The sequence below is a fragment of the Homo sapiens genome, chromosome 20 (assembly GCF_000001405.40).
Source record: "Homo sapiens chromosome 20, GRCh38.p14 Primary Assembly".
NCBI lineage: Eukaryota > Metazoa > Chordata > Mammalia > Primates > Hominidae > Homo > Homo sapiens.
The window spans coordinates 34,198,900-34,220,590 of NC_000020.11; the positions used below are offsets into that span (position 1 = coordinate 34,198,900).

A 21,691-nucleotide genomic window follows, 5' to 3' on the forward strand; every position below is an offset into this window, starting at 1 on the left:
TTACCAGCACCCAGAAGCCTCCTCATTCCCCCTTCAAGTCCCTTTTTCTTACCAAAGTTAGTCACTACCCTGACTTCTAACACCATACATTAAATTTTGCCTGTTTGGGGGCTTTATATGTGTGTGTAGGTGTTTTTATGCGTGGCTTCTTTCGCTTAATATTAAGTTTGTGAGATTCATTTATGTTGTATATGGTAATATTTTATTTGTTCTCATTATTGTGTGGTATTACATGAATACCACAATTTGTTTATCCATTTGTTTATCCATAATTTATTTATCTACAATTTACATGGATAAATGCCACAGTTTATTTATCCATTGTCTTATTGATGGACACATGGAGTGTTTGCAGTTGGGGGCTATTACTGAACAGAAGCATTAGGAACATCTGTGAATACTTTTTTTTTTTAAAGAACATATGAGTGCATTTCTATCTAGAAGTAGAATTGCTGAATCATAGGACATGTGTGTTCCGCTTTTACAGATATTGTCAGTTTTCCAAAATGATTGTATCATTTTACACTCCCACCAGCAATGTCTGAGATTTGTTTTTTCTTACATCCTCATCAGTGGTTGGTATTGTCTGTCTTTTACGTTTAGCCATTTTGATGGGTGTATAGTGGAATGCTTCTTTATTTTAATTTTTATTCCTTGAAGACTAATGACGTTTAGCACCTTTTTACATATTTATTGGCCTTTTGACTATCCTGTTTTGAGAAATATCTGTTCAGATTTTGAACCCATTTCTCTACTAGGTTGTCTGACATTTTTATTGACCTATAAGAGTTCTTTAAATATAGATATGAGCCCTTTGTTGTGTACATGTTGCAAATATCATCTCCCACAAGGCTATGTGGAGTCACACTGGAGCTTCAGGCAAAAGAAAAAATAAAAATCCTGATTCCTGTCTTTATTTTAGATTTTGATATTTTGTTCACCATGGATTTTTTTGCATTAAATTTGATTTTTTAAAATATTGCATCAAATGTTTATTTCTCCTGATTACTGAGTTTTTTGTCACCCCCGTAAAGAACTGTATCCAAGGCAAGAGCCTCACTTGCCTCACCCCAATCCTGGCCCATCCCATTCTGTGTCTTGCATTGTCATGCTCTTTAATATATATTGTTATTTGTTGAAAAGCAGTTTCTAATCTAATGAAGTCCAAATGTTCAAGCTTTTCTTTTAAGATTAGTGCCTTTTCATTTGGATCACATTTATACAGTTATAAAAATAAAGATTTGATTTTGGTCATTCTTCAGATGTTTGGCTCTGAATGACTTAAGCTGAAGTAACTGGTTCCTTTTTTTAAATGTTGTGCCATCATTTCACCCGATGAGCATTTCTTGGAGCCTGCTAGATAGTGTTAGGTCCTCAGGCTGTAAAGAGGTCTTCAACAGGATGTAAAGCAAACTTAATTGTAATTACTTTATTCTGCCGATTAAGAAATACAGTACTAAAGTTTTATCTCTAGTCCCTCAAATTGGCATCCCTCAAATTGGCATCTGGTAATGTACATTGTGGGGTAGACTGATAATCAAATGACAGTGCAACATCTTACCAAGAAGTAAATATGATCTGAGTGTCCTATAAATAATGTAAGAGCAGGTTTTCAAACTTGGAGAGCTGTTTTCTCATTTCATGTACACTTGCCCCAAATTGTAGTTTTTGAAGTCATGTGCATTGCACGTTGGATGAGCCAGGGAAATTATTACATTAACAAGCATTTTGTGTGTATGTAGTAGTTACTTTGTACTGAGAGAACTTGCTTTGGGGTGCAATTAAACAATAAACTGATTTTATTTGGGAGAAACAGGGAAGGGTGCACTTACTAGCAACCTAAGAATAATTTTTCAGCTTTTGCCCTTAAGGTTTAAATTACAATTCCAAAATGTTAGACATACTGTATCTTTTTGTTCAGTGTGGCTTTAATTTTCCCCCCTATGGTTTGTTCTTTAATGCCTTTTACATTTGGACACATAGTTTATGCTTTTTAGATTTTGGTTGCTATCTTGCCAAAATAAGTGTTAGCTGTGTTTCAAACTTGATTTTCTTTCTTTCTTTCTTTCTTTCCTTCCTTCCTTCCTTCCTTCCTTCCTTCCTTCCTTCCTTCCTTCCTTCTTTCTTTCTTTCTTTCTTTCTTTCTTTCTTTCTTTCTTTCTTTTTTTTCCTCCAGAATGTCTTATTTAAAAAGAAAGCTAAAAGTATACTTCTAAGTTAGAGCCTCTATTTTTGTATAACACTTGGGATATTTTTTACTTCACATTGAATATAGACAGGCACCCAAGAAGTCTGATGGCCACCGGAGTGCGGGTGACAAGGACCTGACAGAGCCCATGCAGGGCTTTAGATTTGGACACACAAGAGTTGATAACTTCCTTATGAACTCCTTGCCTGATCTAAACTCAATATGGATTCTGACTGTGTTTGAGTAAAGGTTAAACCTGTTGGCAGTTACTGCTTTTCACAAAGTGCACAGTGGAAATCGAGAATTGATAGGGTTAATTTTGGAGCAGTGGCTTATACCATTCACCTCTTTGTTTTTTTGTGACTTATCTCACAGATAATGAGACCTTAATAACAAACAGGTGTAAAAAAATTTCACATTGAAATGATACAAACATTTGATGTAATAAAACCTTGTTGGCTTGATATTTTAAGGAACTGAAATCTAGCAATCTTACTGGAGAGACAAGAATTGGTCTCCAGCTGCCTTTGATAGATTCGGGTGCGAGTGGAGCCGGAGCCATATACCTGGAGGGAATGTGGTTTGTCACACCAAAGAGGATTTTTTTTCTTCAAACTTGCATGTTGCCTAGGTTTCAAATTCTTTGCCGCAAGGCTGATTTGCTTTCACTAACTGGAATTTTGTAGGAGATACTGGTGACCTAAGCTAAGTTGCATTCAACATACTCAGTGTCAAGCTAATGAGGTTCTGTTATAAAGCTTCTACTTTTAATCTGAGAGAAAACATGTTCAGGGCTTCTAGAACACTAAAAATTTTGACTTAGAACAGTGTTCAGTCTGGTGCCAAACTTCCAATGGAATTCAAATTCACATAATCTGAACTTTGTTCACAGGTTATCCTAATAGAGTAATTCTTCATTTTGTTCTATTGAACTGTCTTAAGGATTTGTTTCAAACAGCTAAGTTACTTGATTAAAATAATGATAAAATTGTAAAAAAAAAAAAAAAGATTAGTGCCTTTTTAAAATCCCTTATAACAAATTTTGTTTTACCCAGTCTTAAAGATATTCTATCTTATATCTTCTAGAACAGCAAGCACTGTCCACTTGAACTTTCTGCAATAATGGAAATATTCGATACCTGCATTGTCCAACATGTAGCCACTGAATGGCTACTGAGCGCTTGAAATAGCACTAGCCACATATGGCTATTGAGCAATTGAAATACTACATATGGTCTACGGCCATACCACCCTGAAATATTTTACAGATATTGTCAGTTTTCCAAAATGATTGTGTCAATCTTGTCTGAAACAGTACATATGATGAAATGAATTTTAAATTTTATTTACTTTTAAATAATTTAAATGAATTGTGGTGAATGGCAATGTAGTTCTGGCAATGTTGTTCCACCTGGAATTGATTTTCAGGTATGATGTGAGGTCAAGTTTCCCTTTTTTTTCTGTATGGATATTCAATCAATCCAGCATCATGTACCGAAAACACTATTAATTTCCCACTTTTATTATTAATCCATTGTCTATCTAATATGTGTGTGTTGTTCTGGAATCTCCATTCTTTTCCATTTGTCCATTAGTCTGTCTTTCTGCCACTTGCACCCTGTTTCCATTTCCTGTAACTTTGCAATAAGTTTTGATATTTGGTAGAATAAGTCCTTCATGCCTCTCATCTTCCCCAAGATTGCCTTGGCTATTCTTTTTTTTTTTTTTTTTTTTTTTTCGAGATGGAGTCTTGCTCTGTTGCCCAGGCTGGAGTGCAGCGGCATGATCTCGGCTCACTGCAAGCTCCGCCTCCCAGGTTCACGCCATTCTCCTGCCTCAGCCTCCCGAGTAGCTGGGACCACAGGCGCCCGCCACTACGCCCGGCTAATTTTTTGTATTTTTAGTAGCGACGGGGTTTCACCGCGTTAGCCAGGATGGTGTCAATCTCCTGACCTCATGATCTGCCTGCCTCGGCCTCCCAAAGTGCTGGGATTACAGGCGTGAGCCTTGGCTATTCTTGAACTTCTATATTTCCACATAAACTTTAGGATAACTTTATAAATTCTACCAAAAAAAACCCTGCTGGAATTTTTATTGGGATTACATTAAATCTGTCCATCAATTAATATGAAAGTCTTTACAATATTAAATTTTTTTATCCATGAATATGGTATATCCCTTCACTAGTTGAAGTCTTATTAAAATTTTTTGATGTTTTATAGTTTTCTATGTAGAAACCTGGTATATTATTCATTGGATTTATTCCCAATTATTTTCTATTTATTTTATAAGTGGCATATATATATGTATATTATATATATATTTTTTGAGACACGGTTTCACTCTGTCACTCAAGCTGGAGTGCAGTGGCATGATTTTGGCACACTGCAACCTCTGCCTCCTGGGTTCAAGTGATTCTCATGCCTCAGCCTCCCAAGGAGCTGGGATTACAGGCACCTGCCACCACACGTGGCTAATCTTTGCATTATTGTAGAGACAGGGTTTCGCCACGTTGGCCTGGCTGGTCTCGAACGCCTAACTTCAAGTGATCCTCCCACCTCGGCCTCCCAAAGTGCTGAGATTACAGGCATGAGCCAATGCACCCAGCCTTATAAGTGGCGTATTTTAATTTTATTTATTTATTTATTTTTTGAGATGGAGTTTCGCTCTTTTTTGCCCAGGCTGGAGTGCAATGGCACGATCCTGCCTCACTGCAACCTCTGCCTCCTAGGTTCAAGCAATTTTCCTGCCTTAGCCTCCCAAGTAGCTGGGATTACAGGCACACGCCACCATACCCGGCTAATTTTGTATTTTTAGTAGAGATGGGGTTGTTTCACCATGTTGGCCAGGCTGGTCTCGAACTCCTGACCTCAGGTGATCCACCTGCCTTGGCCTCAAAGTTCTGGGATTACAGGCGTGAGCCACCACGCCCGGCCATAAATGGCATATTTTAATGTTCATTTTTAGTTGTTTGATGCTGGCATATTGACATAATAATTAAAATTTTGTATTTATACTTGCATACAGCAACCCTGCTTAATTAACTTAATAATTCTTATAGTTTATTTATAGATTCACAATCATGTAGTATGTGTAGTGTGTGTAGTGATTTCTTTCAGATAGTTATTTTTTTAATTTTTTTTTTTTTTTGAGACGGAGTTTTGCACTTGTTGTCCAGGCTGGAGTGCAATGGTGCAATCTTGGCTCGCCGCAACCTCCGCCTCGTGGGTTAAAGCGATTCTCCTGCCTCAGCCTTCCGAGTAGCTGGGATTATAGGCACACGCCACCATGCTGGCTAATTTTGTATTTTTAGTAAAAATGGGGTTTCTCCATGTTGGTTAGGCTGATCTTGAACTCCTGACCTCAGGTGATCTACCCACTTTGGCCTCCCAAAGTGCTGGGATTACAGGTGTGAGCCACTGCTCCTGGCCCGTTTTTTAACTTCTTTTTCTTGAATTATTGGACTGGGTAAAACCTTAAGAACAATGATGAATAAAAGTGAAAATAGCAGGCATCCTTATCTTAGTTCTGATAGAAAGAAAGCACTCAATAATTTCAGTTAAATATGATGGTTGCTGGAGTTTACTTTTTGTAGTTACTCTTTATCAGATTGAGGAATTTTTCTTCTAATTCTAGTTTGATATAATTTTTAAACATTAACAGATGGTGAATTTTATGAAATGTATTTTTCTCATCAGTTAAAATGAGCCTGTGATTTTTACACTTTATTCATTTTATTTATTTTCTATTTTTATGGATAGGTAATAGTTGTACAATTTATGTGGTACATGTGATACTTTGATACAAGCATATAATGTGTAATGATCAAATCAGGATAATGGAATATCCATCACCTCAAGCATTTATCATTTATTTGTGTTGGGAACATTCCAAATCTACTCTTCTAGTTATTTTGAAAGGTACAATAAATTATACTTAATTATACTCACCCTATTGTGCTACCAAGTACAAGTGTGCCTGGAATTGGTGGGTTCTTGGTCTCGCTGACTTCAAGAATGAAGCCATGGACCCTCACGGTGAGTGTTACAGTTCTTAAAGATGGTGTGTCCGGAGTTTGTTCCTTCAGTTGTTCAGATGTGTCCGGAGTTTCTTCCTTCTGGTGGGTTCGTGGTCTTGCCGACTTCAGGAGTGAAGCTGCAGACCTTCACAGTGAGTGTTACAGCTCTTAAAGGCATCACGTCCAGAGCTGTTCATTCCTCCCAATGGGTTTGTGGTCTCACTGGCTTCAGGAGTGAAGCTGCAGACCTTCGTGGTGAGTGTTACAGCTCATAGAGGCGGCGCATCCGGAGTTGTTCATTCCTCCCGCTGGGCTCGTGGTCTCGCTGGCTTCAGGAGTGAAGCTGCAGACCTTCTCGGTGAGTGTTACAGCTTATAAAGGTAGTGCAGACCCAAAGGGTGAGCAGCAGCAAGATTTATTGCGAAGAGCGAAAGAACAAAGCTTCCACAGCGTGGAAGGGGACCCAAACGGGTTGCTGCTACTGGCTCTGGTTGCCTGCTTTTATTCCCTTATTTGGCCCCACCCACATCCTGTCGCTTGGTCTATTTTACAGAGCGCTGATTTCTCCATTTTACAGAGCGCTGATTTTGCCGTTTTACAGAGTGCTGATTGGTGCTTTTACAATCCTTTAGCTAGACACAGAGTGTTGATTGGTGCATTTACAATACTTTAGCTAGACAAAAAAGTTCTCCAAGTCCCCACCCAATTAGCTAGACACAGAGCGCTGATTGGTGCATTTACAAACCTTTAGCTAGACACAGAGTGCTGATTGGTGCATTTACAATCCTTTAGCTAGACAGAAAAGTTCTCCAAGTCCCCACCCAACCCAGAAGCCCAGCCAGCTTCACCTCTCACAAGGTCTTATTTCTTCTATTCTAATTGTATTTTGTTTTGTTTTGATTTTTGAGACAGAGTCTTGCTCTGTCACCCAGGCTGGAGTGCAGTGGCACCATCTCACCTCACTGCAACCTCTGCCTCCCAGGTTCAAGCAATTCTCCTGCCTCAGTCTCCCAAGTAGCTGGGACTACAGGTGCCCGCCTCTATACCAAGATAATTTTTTTTTGTATTTTTAGTAGAGACGGGGTTTCACTATGTTGGCCGGACTGGTCTTGAACTCCTGGCCTCAAGTGATCTGCCTGCCTCAGCCTCCCAAAGTCTGGGATTGCAGGCATGAGCTACCACGCCCGGCCTCGAATTGTATTTTTGTATTCATTAACCAACCCTACTTTATATCTTCCTCCCTACTACCCTTCCCACCTTCTCAAAAACACCATTCCATTCACTACCTTTCTGATATCGATTTTTTTAACTCCACGTGAGTAAGAATATGTGACATTTATCTTTCTGTGTTTGCCTTATCTAACTTAATGATGACCTCCAGTTCCATCTATATTGTTGCAAATGACAGAATTTCATTCTTTTTTATGGCAGAATAATATTCCACTGTATACATATACCACTTTTTTGTTTTTGTTTTTGTTTTTGTTTTTTGAGACAAAGTCTCGCTCTGTCACCTAGGCTGGAGTGCAGTGGTGCAATCTTGGCTCACTGCAATCTCCGCCTCCTGGGTTCAAGCAATTCTTTTGCCTCAGCCTCAAGAGTAGCTGGGACTACAGGTGCAAGCCACCACGCCTGGCTAATTTTTGTATCTTTAGTAAAGACAGGATTTCACTACATTGGCCAGGCTGGTCTCAAACTTCTCCTGACCTCGTGATCCACCTGCCTCGACCTCACAAAGTGCTGGGATTAGCCACCATGCCTGGCCCATATACCACGTTTTTTAAATCCATTCATTTGTTGATGGACAGTTAGGTTGATTTCATATCTTCGTTATTGTGAATAGGGCTGCAATAAACATGGGAGTGCAGATATTTTTTTGATACACTGAATTCCTTTCTTTTGGAAATATACCTATCAGTGAGATTGCTGGATCATATGGTAGTTCTATTTTTAGTTTTTTGAGGAATCTCTATATTGTTTTCCATAGTGACTGTATTAATTTATATTCCCGTTAACAGAATACAAGCATCCCCCTTTCTCTGCATCCTTACCAGCATTTGTTATTTTTTTAAATTTCTTTTCCTTCTTCCCAAACATTACTGCTGATATTTTCTATCTTTTCTGATAATAGCCATTTTAACTGGAGATGAGATGAAATCTCACTGTGGTTTTGATTTGTATTTCCCTGATGATTAGTGATATTGACTATTTACTCATATGCCTGTTGGCCCTTTGTATGCCTTCTTTTGAGAAATGCCTGTTCATTTTTAAATTGGATTTTTTTAAACCAGTGAGTTGAGTTCCTTACATATTCTGGTTATTAATCCCTTGTCAGTTGACTAGTGTGTATTAATATTTTCCCATTCTGTAGGTTATCTCTTCACTTTATGGATTGTTTCCTTTGCTGTGCAGGTTTTTGCCTTGATATTATCGCATTTGTCCATTTTTGCTTTGGTTGCTTGTGCTTTTGAGGTCTTACTCAAGAAATCTTTGCCAGGACCAACATCCTCAAGCATTTCCACAATGTTTTCTTCTAGTGGTTTCATAGTTTCAGTTCTTACACTTAAGTCTTTAATCCATTTTGATTTGATTTTTGTATATGGTGAGAAATGGGGGTATAGTTTAATTCTTCTTCATATGGATATCCAGTTTTTCCAGCACCATTTATTTATTTATTTATTTATTTATTTATTTATTTATTTGAGATGGAGTCTCACTCTGTTGCCCAGGCTGGAGTGCAGTGGCACGATCTGGGCTCACTGCAAGCTCCGCCTTCCAGGTTCATGCCATTCTCCTGCCTCAGCCTCCTGAGTAGCTGGGACTACAGGCGCCCACCACCACGCCTGGCTGATTTTTTGTATTTTTAGTAGAGACCGGGTTTCACCATGGTCTCGCTCTCCTGACCTCGTGATCCACCCGCCTCGGCTTTCCAAAGTGCTGAGATTACAGGTGTGAGCCACCACACCCGGCCTCCAGCACCATTTATTAAAGAGTTGACTGTAAATGTATAGATTTGTTTCCGGGTTTTCTATTCTGTTCCATTGGTCTATGTATCTGTTTTTATGCTAGTGCCATGCTGTTTGGGTTACTATAGCTTTGTAGTATAACTTGAAATCAGGTATGTGATGCCTACGGCTTTTTTCTGTTTGATCAGGATAGCTTTGGCTATTCTGGGTCTTTTGCTGTTCCATATAAATTTTAGGACTTTTAAAAATATTTTTGTGAAGAATGTCATTGGTATTTTTTTGTTTGTTTTCTTTTGTTTTTGAGACACAGTCTCCCTCTGTCACCCAGGCTGGAGTGCAGTGGTGTGATCACGGCACACTGAAGCCTCTACCTCCTGGGCCCAATTAATCCTTCTGCCTCAGCCTCCTGAGTAGCTGGGATTACAGGTGTGCACCACTACTCCTGGTTAATTTTTTTATTTTTTGAAGAGACAGGGTCTTACTGTGTGCCTCGGTTGACTCAAACTCCTGGGCTCAAGTGATCCTCCCACCTTGGCCTCTCAAAGTGCTAGGATTATACACATGAGCGATACACAGCACCTGGCCTTCACTGGTGTGTAGATAAGGACTGCATTGAATCTGTAAATCACTTTAAGTAGTATGGACATTTTAACAATATTGATTCTTCCAATCTATGAACATGAGATGGCTTTCCATTTTTTGGTGACCTCTTCAATTTCTTGAATCAATGTTTTATAGTTTTCATTGTAGAGATCTTTCACTTCTTTGGTCGTTTATGCCTAAGTATTTTTTTCTGTAGCTATCGTAAATGAGACTGCTTTGTGTTCTTTCTCAAATTGTTCACAGTTGAAATATAGAAATTCTATAATACTAATTTTTGTATGTTGATTGTGTATCCTGCTACTTAATTTGTTTATCAGTTCCAATAGGGTTTTGGTGGAGTCTTTAGCTTTTCTAAACATAAGATCATAGTGTCTGCAACCAAGGACAGTTTGGACAGTTTCCTTTCCAATTTGGATGCCCTTTGTTTCTTTCTTTTGTATAGTTGCTCTGGCTAGGACTTGTAGTACTGATGATAGCAGTGGTCCATCTGGAGCAGCTGCTGCCATCACTCCAGCTGCACATTGCACAGAGCTGGTGGGAGCCGGCAACAAGTGGGAGCCCTACCCCTTCCAAGTTGGTGGGGTGGGAGCTCTCTGGGTGCAGCTACAGCTGCCCAAGTCATGGCTGCAGACTCAGGCCTCCCACTCCACGGAGCAGGCAGGAGGCCTACCCTCACGGGTGCAGCTACAGCTGCCCAAGTTGTGGCTACTGACCTGGGCCTTCCTGTGCTCTTGGGTGGTCCAGGAGCAGGCAGGAACCCCACCCTCCTGGATGCAGCTACAGCCACCCAAGTCACAGCTGCAGAGCCAGGCATCTCTGCACTCTTGGCAGCCTGGGAAGACCCCCCTGTACCCCCAACCAGGCTCAGAGAAGTCTGCTCCCACTGCCTGGCCTCTCCCTGCTCCCAGCACCCACTCCAATCTTGGAGTAAGGTTGGGGCTGGGCCCAGGCACTGTCACAACCCAGCCGTGTGTGCATACACTTGGGGCAGTGTTGACATGACAGTCCCCTGCTGCCTTGGGCCCCTCTGGATTTGGGGCACCAACGAGAATGGGAGGGAAGCTAAGGAGGGGCCGAGGGCAGCTTGGCATTGGCCTGCAGGTGTCCCTTGGCATGATAACCTGGGTGCGATGGACAGCAGTGGGAGGCAGACAGGCTCCTGGGTAGAAGGGAGGGCCTGAAGGCTGGGAGTCTGGCTGCCAGTCCCACAGACCAGAGTGGGAAATAGTGGTGCCTTTTCCCAGCCCACCCATGGCTGCCCATGGACCAATCAGTGTGCACTTCCTCCCTTTTGAGGCCCATAAGAGCCCCCAATTCAGCCAGAGCTGAGCAGATTTTGGGACAACCTGCTACAGAGAGGAGCTGCCCACTCCAGGGCCTCCTCTGAGCTATTTTGTCACTCAGTAAAGCTTCTCTTCACCTTGCTCACCCTCCATTTGTCTGCACACCTCATTCTTCCTGGACGCAGGACAAGAACTCGGGACCTACCAAATGGTGGGACTAAAAGAGGTGTAACACAAACAGGGCTGAAACGTCCCTTGCTCACCACGTTGAGGGTGAAGAGAAGGATAGAAGAGCTGTGGCCCTTTGGGGAGCCCAGACCTGGGAGTTCCCTGAGCCAGGGCTATGACTCCGTCTTTGGGGCCCTGTGACTCCTGGAGTCTCCAAGCTTCTGGGAGCCACCACATTCCCCAGTGGCAGGTGTGGAAGCTGCTTGCAGTGTGTCTGGTCCAGTTGCAGCCTCACAGAGAGTCAGCACCCACGTCAGCACCTGGAGCTGCCTGCCCCACAGCAGCTGACATGCTTGACTGTGCGCAGTGGCCAGACCCCCATGCTTGCTCACTCACACACCTGCTGCCACTCCATGCCTGGCTTGCCTTTGGCAGGCATGGGATCCAGGCCAGTAGTGTGGACCAAGCACAACCTGCCAGGCTGAGTGGGCAGAATAAGACCAGCGGGCCTGAGCAAAACTCAGGCAAAGGTGCCACCAGCCACAGAGGTTTCCAGCCAGAAAAGTGACACCCCGAGGATCCTGCAACAGTACTAGGTTGAATAAAAGTGGTGAAAGCAGTCATCCTTGTCTTGTTCCAGATGTTAGATGAAAGGCTTTCAGTTTTTCCCCATTTAGCATGCTGTTAGCTGTGGGGACCTTATTCATTTTATGATGAACCACAGTGACTGATTTTTTTGAATGATAACTTAATCTTGTATTCCTGGAATAAACCCTATTTGGTCATGGAGTATTAGTCCTTTTATATATTTCTAGTTTGGGTACGCTAATATTTTGGTTAAGATTTTTACATGTATATTATTTTTAAAATTTGATATGTAATTTTTCTCTTGTAGTGTTCTCTCTCTTTTTTAAAGAGACAGGTCTTGCTCTGTCATCCAGGCTGGAGTACAGTAGCTTAGTGGCTTGATTATAGCTCACTGCAACCTTGAACTCCTGAACTTAAGCAATCCTGCTGCCTCTGCCTCCCAGGTACCTAGGACTGCAGGAGCATGCCACCATGCCTGGCTCGATTTTTATTTAATGTTTTATAGAGACAGGTTCTCACTGTTGTTGCCCAGGCTGATCTCAAACTCCTGATCTTAAATGATCCTCCCAGTTTGGCCTTCCTCAAATGATCCTCCCACTTCGGCCTCCCAAAGTGCCAGAATTATAGGCATGAGCCACCGTGCCCGGCCTCATTGCCATATATTTTAATTTTATATATACTTTAAATTCTACAAAATGTTGTTGTTATTGTTGTCAGTGCTGTTGTTTTATACAATTGGCATTTGTTAAGATTTACCCACTGTTGTTAACTTAATGTTGTTCTATATTTCTTCTTTCAGTTTTGTGCTTCCATTGAGATTACTTTCTTTCTGCCTGAAAAATACCATTTAGAATGTCTTTTAATATGGGTCTACGGGTGACAAATTTTTCTCAGGTATTATTTGTCTGAAATTGTCTTTATTTCCACCTTCATTTACGAAAAAATGTTTTTGCTGAATGTAGAATCCCAACTTAGTTATTTTCTTTCATTTTGAAGATATCATTCCATTGTTTTCTGAGTTATGTTGTTTCCTTTGAGAAATTAGCAGTCAGTCTTACTTTTTGATCTTTTGCAAGTAAACTGACTTTTTTCTTGTGCTACTCCTAAGATTTTTCTCTGGGTCGTTAGCTTTTTATAGATGTACAGTCACATGCCTAGGTGTACATTTATCCTGCTTGGGCTTTGTGGCATTTCTTGAATCTGTAACCAGATAAAGATATCAAGTATATAAAGCTTTGGTACATTCTCAGTAATTATCTTCTCAAATATTGCTTGTGTCCCATTTTCTCTCTCTTATCCTTCTAAGATTATAACTGCTTACTATGTCCTATATGATTTTACATTCTTTTCTGTATTTTTCATCATTTTGTAACTCCATGTTTTAGTCTGTGTATTTTCTTCTGAATTTTCTTTCATTTCACCAATTCTGCTTTAAGCTGAGTCTAATTTATTATTAAACTCACCTAATAGATTACTCTTTAAACTTTTATTTGTAAATAATTTCATAACGTAAAGAAAAGTTACAAGACTAGTAAGAAAAATTGCAACAACTCCCATACACCCAATCTCTGATTGTTAATACTTTGTCTCATTTGCTTTATTATTTTGTGCCTGTGTGTTCACTCTCTTTCTTCAAATGTGCACACACATTCATGCACACACACATTTTTTACACATAAAATTTGAGAGTAAATTTCATACATATACATTATGACCCTTTTCTACTAAATATTTCATTGTGAATTTCCAAAGAATAAGAATATTTTCTTAAGTAACCATGGTACAGTTATCACTCCTATAAACTTATTTAGTATATTTTAATATTGATGCAATACATTATCTACTGTCTATTTTACAATTTTAACAATTGACCCAATAATGTCTTATATAGTATTTATTTTCCTTCAGTACAATCTCCTTTAATCTGGAGCAGTTCCTCAGCCATTCTTTGTCTTTTATGACATTGACATTTTTGAGGAAAAAAAATTCTTCTTTTGTGTGATAGAATTATTTTAATTTTGAGTTTATCTGATGTTTTCCCACCTGCCCTTGTTAATTTTGATCACTCCATTGAGATATTTCCATTCTTTACCCTTATAACTAATAAGCAATCTGTAGGGGAAATACTTTAAGAATGTGCATATATCTTGCATCTATTGATGATTCTTACTTGAATCAATTCTTACTATGATGGTTGCAAAATTAAGATTTTCCAACTCCAGCACTGCTTTTGAGTGACTGTAGGACTTACCAGTCAGCACTTGACATACTACTATAAGCAAGAAGCCTCCTAGAATGTTTATCCCTCCAAAAGTCACTTTAAACTTAGTTGCCATTGTAACAGTATCAACAGGTGAGACTTCTAAGAGGTGATTAGGCCATGAGGACTCCACGCTTGTGAATAGACCTAATGCTGCTATCATTATTGCAAGGGTGGGTTCACCCTTCTTGCTCCTTCTCCTCCATCCTTTCTTTATCCTTCTGCCATGTGATGCCTTCTACCATGTTATGACACAGCAAAAAAGGCCCTCACCAGATGCCAGCCCTTCTATCTTGGACTTGCCAGCCTCCAGAACTGTGAACCAATAACTTTCTTTGCATTATAAATTACCCAGTCTGTGGTATGCTTTTATAGCAGCACAAAACAGTCTAAGACAGAAAGTTAATGCCAGAGAGTGGAGTGTTGCTATAACCAACACCTGAAAAATGTGAAAGTGGCTTTGGAATTGAGTCATAGGTAGAGACTGAGACAGTTTTGAAGTGAACACTGAAAAAGTCTGTCTCTAAAGCAGCAGACTGGTCATTTTCTTCTGCGGGCCAGAGTAGCACTTCAAAAATTGCATGAAGCAGGGGCATGAACATCTGTTGTAAAAACGGGGATACTTGTACCTTGAATTTGGCCGTAATCTGGTTGATAAGAGGAATGAACTCCTGGAGGTCTTTTGCTTCACAATCTTTGAGTATATGTTCTGAAGCAGATGGGATGAACGGAAAAACTTCTTCCTCCAGGCAAATAATCATTCGATGAAGGAAAGTACAGACTCCACTTCTGAGAATACCCTTTTGTAAGGGACAACTGAGGGCCAGCAAGAATGTCTGTAAACAGTCCAGATAAACTTCGGAACAGCCACACTGTTTCACAGTCTGCTTGTTGCTGAAAGCTTTACTAGTTCGACTTGCAAATCCAACAGCATGGTTGAGACAGTCTGCTAGAGAGGCTTGCCTTTCTTCATCTTGTGCCAGCATCAAATTTTCTAACAGAATTTTAAACTTCTCCATTAGTGGAGTCAACAGATTCCTCATTAAGGCTTCTTTCCTTTCTGCCGGGTATTCATTATTAACAATCATCACTCCAACTGTCTCATAAATAAAATTTGATCATCGCTGCTCAGGAAGGACTGGTGGCCATTCTCAGGTGGAGAAAGCTTTAATAAATCTTGTATTCTATTCAAAATATCCTCAATGAAAGGATTCATTTGCTTATTGAGAGATTTGACAAATCTAGAAAACAGGTAAGCCATCTTGCTCTGAACTTTTGCACTGGAATGACGCAGACCTCTGTGATCTAAGAAAGCCATTAGTACACATGGAACGTGCTGAGGTTCAACTGTGAAAAACTTTTCATATCTAACAACAGTTTCGAAGAACTCCAACGTCACAGATGTATGCTGATAGGAACTGACTCCTGATGTTACCAGAGTTCGCATCATACCCTGCAAAGCACTAGCTTTTGAAACATCACCTGAGAAGTGAGCACCATGAGATAGATACTGGAAGAGCTTCTGCCAACATATACAGCAATCTTATTGCTACTTCAACTTCCATGAACCGTGTAGTCTGCCAATTCTGCAGTGTAGAACTAAAAACTCTGCGAACAGAGGCCAGTAGTAACTCTCGTGAAACTTGAGCAAGCCTGTCCAACACTAACTTCAGTTGTTTTCTATATTCTACAAACATGGCTTTATCTTGACCCTCATTTTCAAAGTTATATTCTTCATCATAAGTCAATTTTTTCATAACGGCCAACATGATTGCCTCCACATTAGCTTTTTGCTGATCCGAGAGCACTGTAAGCTGTTTCAAAATATGAAGATAATCATAACAAAATCCAATATTAGAAGAAATATCATCATCCTCATGAATTAGTAGCTGCAACATCAGTGCCACTTTTGTTTCAATAGCTTGTAGTGCCTCTTGAGCATTCTTAATATTCCCATTCTTAGTTAATTTACTCCAACTAACTATCCATGACTGTCCCATTCCGTTTACCGGCTTAGAAAATCTGGCCAACATCTTCTTCCTGGTCAATGCTGAAAAGAAGTCAACATCTTCTTCCTGGTCAATGCTGAAAAAGCCAGCAGACTGTAATACTTGACACAAAGATTCTACTAGTTTCATTTTATCAACAGGGTCCATTCCTTTATTTACAACTTCAAATAAACAGTCACATGCTTCTTCCCGTAGAACTTCTATTGACATATGACCTAGCAGCATATTTATAAACCTATCATTGGCTAAAAGGGATAAGTCAATCCAAGAGACATAAGCCCCAACTACTTCAAGGCACTGACACATCACTTCAGAATTAGTATACTGATAATTTTGTGATATTTGGTACCATGATTCCACCAGATTTGGAATGCACTGTTCCCTCATGGTATCTTTTATGAGAGTATTCCTGTGAGCCTCCTCTGATGTATGCACCACATCACGATCCACCAACTCTGAGTTGATAGCCATGAGGATTCGCAGGTACAGATCTACTCCCCTTGGATTTAGGTCCACTACTGAGAGAATGTCAAAAAAAAAACTTGGGCCACTTAGTGAGATATTCTGCAACAAAAAGCAAGGCGAGGACTTGGGCGGCTTTATTTGGTATAAAGGTCTTCTCTGGTTGGGGATTCAGCATCTGAGCTTGCAGCCATGATATGAGCGTCTCCCTAATTAGTTGTTGTTGAACAGTGGTTAGTTCTGAATATTTGTATTTAACTTGATGTTCCAGTACTTGAAAGCAGAAAAACTTTACATGATCATCACTATATGTCCTCTGGGCTAGAGCTTCTGCACACACCTGCCAGGCATCTGGGGAAATCTTTAACTGCTCAAAATAGGCCAGGGCCCTTAGTCTAAAGTCTGAATCAGCATTTGGATTTAGCCCTAATAGAGCCTGTTTATCCATCCTTGCTGCTATACTTGGAGTTTTCTGGTTATAATAGGCTTGCCCTCTGATCCCACAGAAGAATTTATAAACATCTTCCCTATCACTCCAGCCCGCCTCCCAGCCTGAACTCCATGGTCAGCCAGCGGAACGGAGCCGAGCGGCGCAGCTCGCAGAGAGCTGGGACAGCGGCCCTCGTCCTTGTCGCCGTAGTCCTCTGCCACGACCGCAGCGCCAACGCCAGAGACGGAGTTGGCCGGGACTGCACGCCTCTCGTCGCTCCGCGTCCCCTGGCACCTTCTCTTGAGTGGCAGGCAAGCAAGCAAGCAAGCGGGCGGGGTCAGCGCCCCAAGAAGGGAAAGAGCGCGAGGGCCAGCTAACGCCGCCGCCGCCGTCGCCGCTGAGTCAGCGCGAAGCGCCCTCTCCGAGTAGGTGCCGCGCGGGCGGGCGCTGGCGCCAGCAGTCTCATGGAGAGTGCGGGCGGCAGCCCGCGGGCTGGGGCCGTCTCCTGTCTATTTCTTATTTATTCCTTTCAAAATGGCGTCTTATGATAAGCAAAAAAATAAATTTTCTTGAAGTCCAATATTTTATTTTTACTTTTATGGTTAGTACATTTTATGTTCTACCTATGAAATTTCCGTTTACTCCATAGTCACAAAGATATACTTCTAGAAGTTTTATGGTTCTAGTTTTTAATGTAGGTCTATGATCCATCTTGAATTAATTTTTTGTATGGAATGCCATAGGGGTTAGAGCTGTCTTTCCATAGAGATACCCAGTTTTTTTCACACATCTGTTAAACAGGCATTCCTTTGCCTCACTGAATTGATCTGATGCCTTGGTTGATAATCAGTTGACTATATATGTATAGATCTATTTTTGGACTTGATCCTGTTCCATTCATCTGTATCTGTCTACTCTAGCTTTGTGGCAAATCTTGAACTTGTGAGTATAAATATTCTAAATTTGTTCTTTTTTCAATATTGTTTTGATTATTCTAGGTCCTTTGCATTTCCATATAAATTTTAGAACCATGTTGTCAATTTCTTCAAAAAAGCCTGTGGAGCTCTGGAGACGATTTGAGGTTCTATATGATGTTATCTCTCTCCAGAAGGGTTTACTTTTGTTTCTGTCAAGCGAATAGGCTAGAGGCTGAAACTTTCATCTAGTAAGTGTCTGAGGAAGTCAAAGCTGGGCTTTAATCCTTGTGAGAGCTGATCTCTTTCCAATTTGCCCTTATCCCTAGAGTGGAGCCCTTCATGGTCCCAGCTGAAAGCCTGGAGAGGCTGCGCGCGGTGGCTCACGCCTGTAATCCCAACACTTTGAGAGGCCAAGGCAGGTGGATCACTTGAGCGCAGGAATTCAAGACCAGCCTGGGCAACATGGCAAAACCCCATCTCTACAAAAAGTACAAAAATTAACCGGGCGTGGTGGTGGGTGCCTGTAGTCCCAGTTACTCCGGAGGCTGACGCAGGAGAATCGCTTGAACCTGGGAGGCGCAGGTTGCAGTGAGCCGACATCTCGCCACTGCACTCCAGCCTGGGGGACAGAATGAGACTCCAACTCAAAAAAAGAAAAAAAGAAAAAGAAAGCCTGGGGATATTTACCAGGACCCTTCCTCCTTTTCAGGTACCTTACTACAATTTATGTCTCATCAGCCCTGGCTGGGAATCTACTGAAAGCTTATTTATGTATTTATTTATTTATTGAGACGGAGTCTCGCTTTGTTGCCCAGGCTGGAGTGCAGTGGCGCGATCTCGGCTCACTGCAACCTCCGCCTCTTGGGTTCACGCCATTCTCCTGCCTCAGCCTCACGAGTAGCTGGGACTGCAGGCGCCCACCACCACGCCCGGCTAATTTTTTTGTACTTTTAGTAGAGACGGGGTTTCACCGTGTTAGCCAGGATGGTCTCAATCTCCTGACCTCGTGATCCGCCCGCCTCGGCCTCCCAAAGTACTGGGATTAACAGGCGTGAGCCACCGCGCCCAGCCCGCTGAAAGCTCTTTTCAGCCTCTCAGCGCTGCTTTTGCTTTTGGAATCAGCAATTGTCTTCAGAGTAAAGTGTCTCCAAATACCAGTCTCACCTTACTTGGCTTCTCTTTTTCTCCAGATCTTGGACTAGCAAATTCTCACTGCTTTTGTAGCTCTTCCATAGCTCCAAATTGCTGTTTTTAAAAAGTGCTAATTTGTTCAGCATTTGTAATTGTTCTCAGCAAGATGTTTGAAAAAGACCAACTAGTCAGCCTTTGCCAGAAATGGAACTCTATGACACACATTTTTAGAAATATAAGTTCATTAAGATTAACTTTGTTTTGGAAGATACGTTCAGACTTTATTAATGATTTTGGAGACAATTGGGAAATTGCGAGCATGGAGGTTTGGCTTCAGCATTATGAGGGTAAAAAACTCCCACAAATCCTCAGATTGGAATGACAGAGCCCACAAGCAGGATATGATATTTGGAGCTGTTCACTAAGGCTATTTGGTGTGCCTTGTACACCTACCACTTCTTCACCACTCCCTTCTAAAAAGGAGAGATTGGGAAAAATATAGCCTTGTTCATTACTTTTATCCAGTCCCACTGAGGCAAAGTGGCATCACCCATTTATCATTTTTTATTACTGAGCAATAGCAGCATGCAGGTCTTATAGCTGGATACTTCTGGGGAGCACTCCTCCTATTTGCTTTTAGATATCTGCTCACCCACCCTAGCTTAATCCCAGGAATTTTTCACAGTGCTGTCATTTAACAGGGGGAATCAGGCTGGTGGAGATGGCAGTAGCAAGGGAAAAGGAGCATGTGTCCTTTTCAGCAATTTTTTTTTTTTTGAGACCAGGCTGGAGTGCAGTGGCACGATGTCTGCTCACTGCAAGCTCCACCCCCTGGGTTCATGCCATTCTCCTGCCTCAGCCTCCTGGGTAGCTGGGACTGCAGGCGCCCGCCACCACGCCCAGCTAATTTTTTTGTATTTTTAGTAGAGACGGGGTTTCACCATGTTAGCCAGGATGGTCTCGATCTCCTGACCTCGTGATCCTCCCACCTCGGCCTCCCAAAATGCTGGAATCACAGGTGTGAGCCACCACGCCTGGCCCCTTTTCAGCAATTTTAACGTAACCCTCTGAAGTTTCTCAAACTAAATGTGAGAATAGCTGGAAACCTATGGCTCTTGTATACAGATGTACACTATAGGCAGTTGTATAGACTTCCAAACACATACACATTACATGTTCAAATGTATATAAATATAGACTCAAAGCTCCTAGGGAACAGGTAGTATAAGAAAAGGAAGCCTAACCTTAGGCTAAACTAGATAATGTCATGTAATACACTAGACTAGACACTATATGGAAAGAGGTGATCCAAGTGATCCTCTTGAGGAAGGAGAGAATCAAGGAGTAAAAACTAACTTTTGTGGATGCTTGTTATGTGCCAAGTGTGGTGCTTAAACACCTTTTCTATCTTTACACATTCAATCATCATAATGATCCTGCAGAATAGGTATTGTTATCCCCATTTTTAATTTAATCTCCCAAAAGGCCACACCCAAGACCAGGAGCTAGTGTATTTGCAAAGCCAAGATTCAAATCTAATTCTGCCTGGCTCCAAAACTTATTCTCTGAAAGTAGGAAAGAGAGGCAGAAGTTCTTATTTAAACAATTAGACTCTGCAATAGAGTTTCCAAGCAAAATATAATTAATAAATTTGTTTACTCTTTCTCTCTCATAGTGGTCAACAGCATTAATCTCAGTGAATAACACTGTATAAGCACTTACTAGAATAAAAGTGCTCAGTTACTAGGTTTTGCTGGGCAAGTGTAAGGTTGCTTGTGGGTGGTGAGAGGAACAGAGCACAGAAATGTTAACATTCACAAACTTTCTGAACACCTGAGCACTGAGCTGGGAACCCAGAATATAAAGATAAAAAATACAAAACATGTGCTGGGAGCGGTGGCTCACGCCTGTAATCCCAGCACTTTGGGAGGCCGAGGCAGGCGGATCATGAGGTCAGGAGATTGAGACCATCCTGGCTAACACGGTGAAACCCCGTCTCTACTAAAAATACAAAAAAATTAGCTGGGCGTGGTGGTGGGTGCCTGTAGTCCCAGCTACTAGGGAGGCTGAGGCAGGAGAATGGCATGAACCCGGGAAGCGGAGCTTGCAGTGAGCCGAGATCGTGCCACTGCACTCCAGCCTGGGCGACAGAGCGAGACTCCATCTTAAAAAAAAAAAATGAACTTTATCTTCCAAAGTTTACAGTCTAGTTACTTCAGAGATGGTTTATGTGCCATCTACACGTGTAGAACTGACATACCCATAAAAGGAACAGATAATAAAAAGACTAGTAAGTCTGGACCTTCTCTCATGAAACTCAAAGTCTAAGGGGGAATCAGACTAATAAATGGGCATTTTCAATACAAGAGATTAAGTTAAAAGTAAGCACAGGGGCCGGGTGCAGTGGCTCACGCCTGTAATCCCAACACTTTGGGAGGCTGAGGCAGGCTGATCACTTGAACCCAGGAGTTCAAGACCAGCCTGGGCAACATGATGAAACCCTGTCTCTACAAAAATACAAAAATTAGCCGGGTGTGGTGCATGCACCTTTAGTCCCAGCTACTCAGGAGGCTGAGGTGGGAGGATCGCTTGAACCCAGGAGGCAGAGGTTGCAGTGTGCTGAGATCATGCCACTGCACTCCAGCCTGGATGACAGGGCGAGACCTTC

General features: G+C 41.5%; 1 protein-coding gene and 1 pseudogene across 3 annotated transcripts in view; one reads left to right on the forward strand and one right to left on the reverse strand.

Moving 5' to 3' along the window:
- ASIP (agouti signaling protein) overlaps window positions 1-21,691 on the forward strand; it is an 82,852-nt gene that overhangs the window by 12,407 nt on the left and 48,754 nt on the right. The window contains exon 1 of one of the 3 annotated variants that reach the window (XM_011528820.2): window positions 18,491-18,601. The exons of the other annotated variants lie outside the window; for them this stretch is intronic. The gene's annotated coding sequence lies outside the window, so the exon portion shown is untranslated. Of the gene's footprint in view, window positions 1-18,490; window positions 18,602-21,691 lie in introns of those variants that run through there. 3 annotated transcript variants of the gene reach the window in all.
- On the reverse strand, window positions 14,587-17,194 carry XPOTP1 (exportin for tRNA pseudogene 1; annotated as a pseudogene).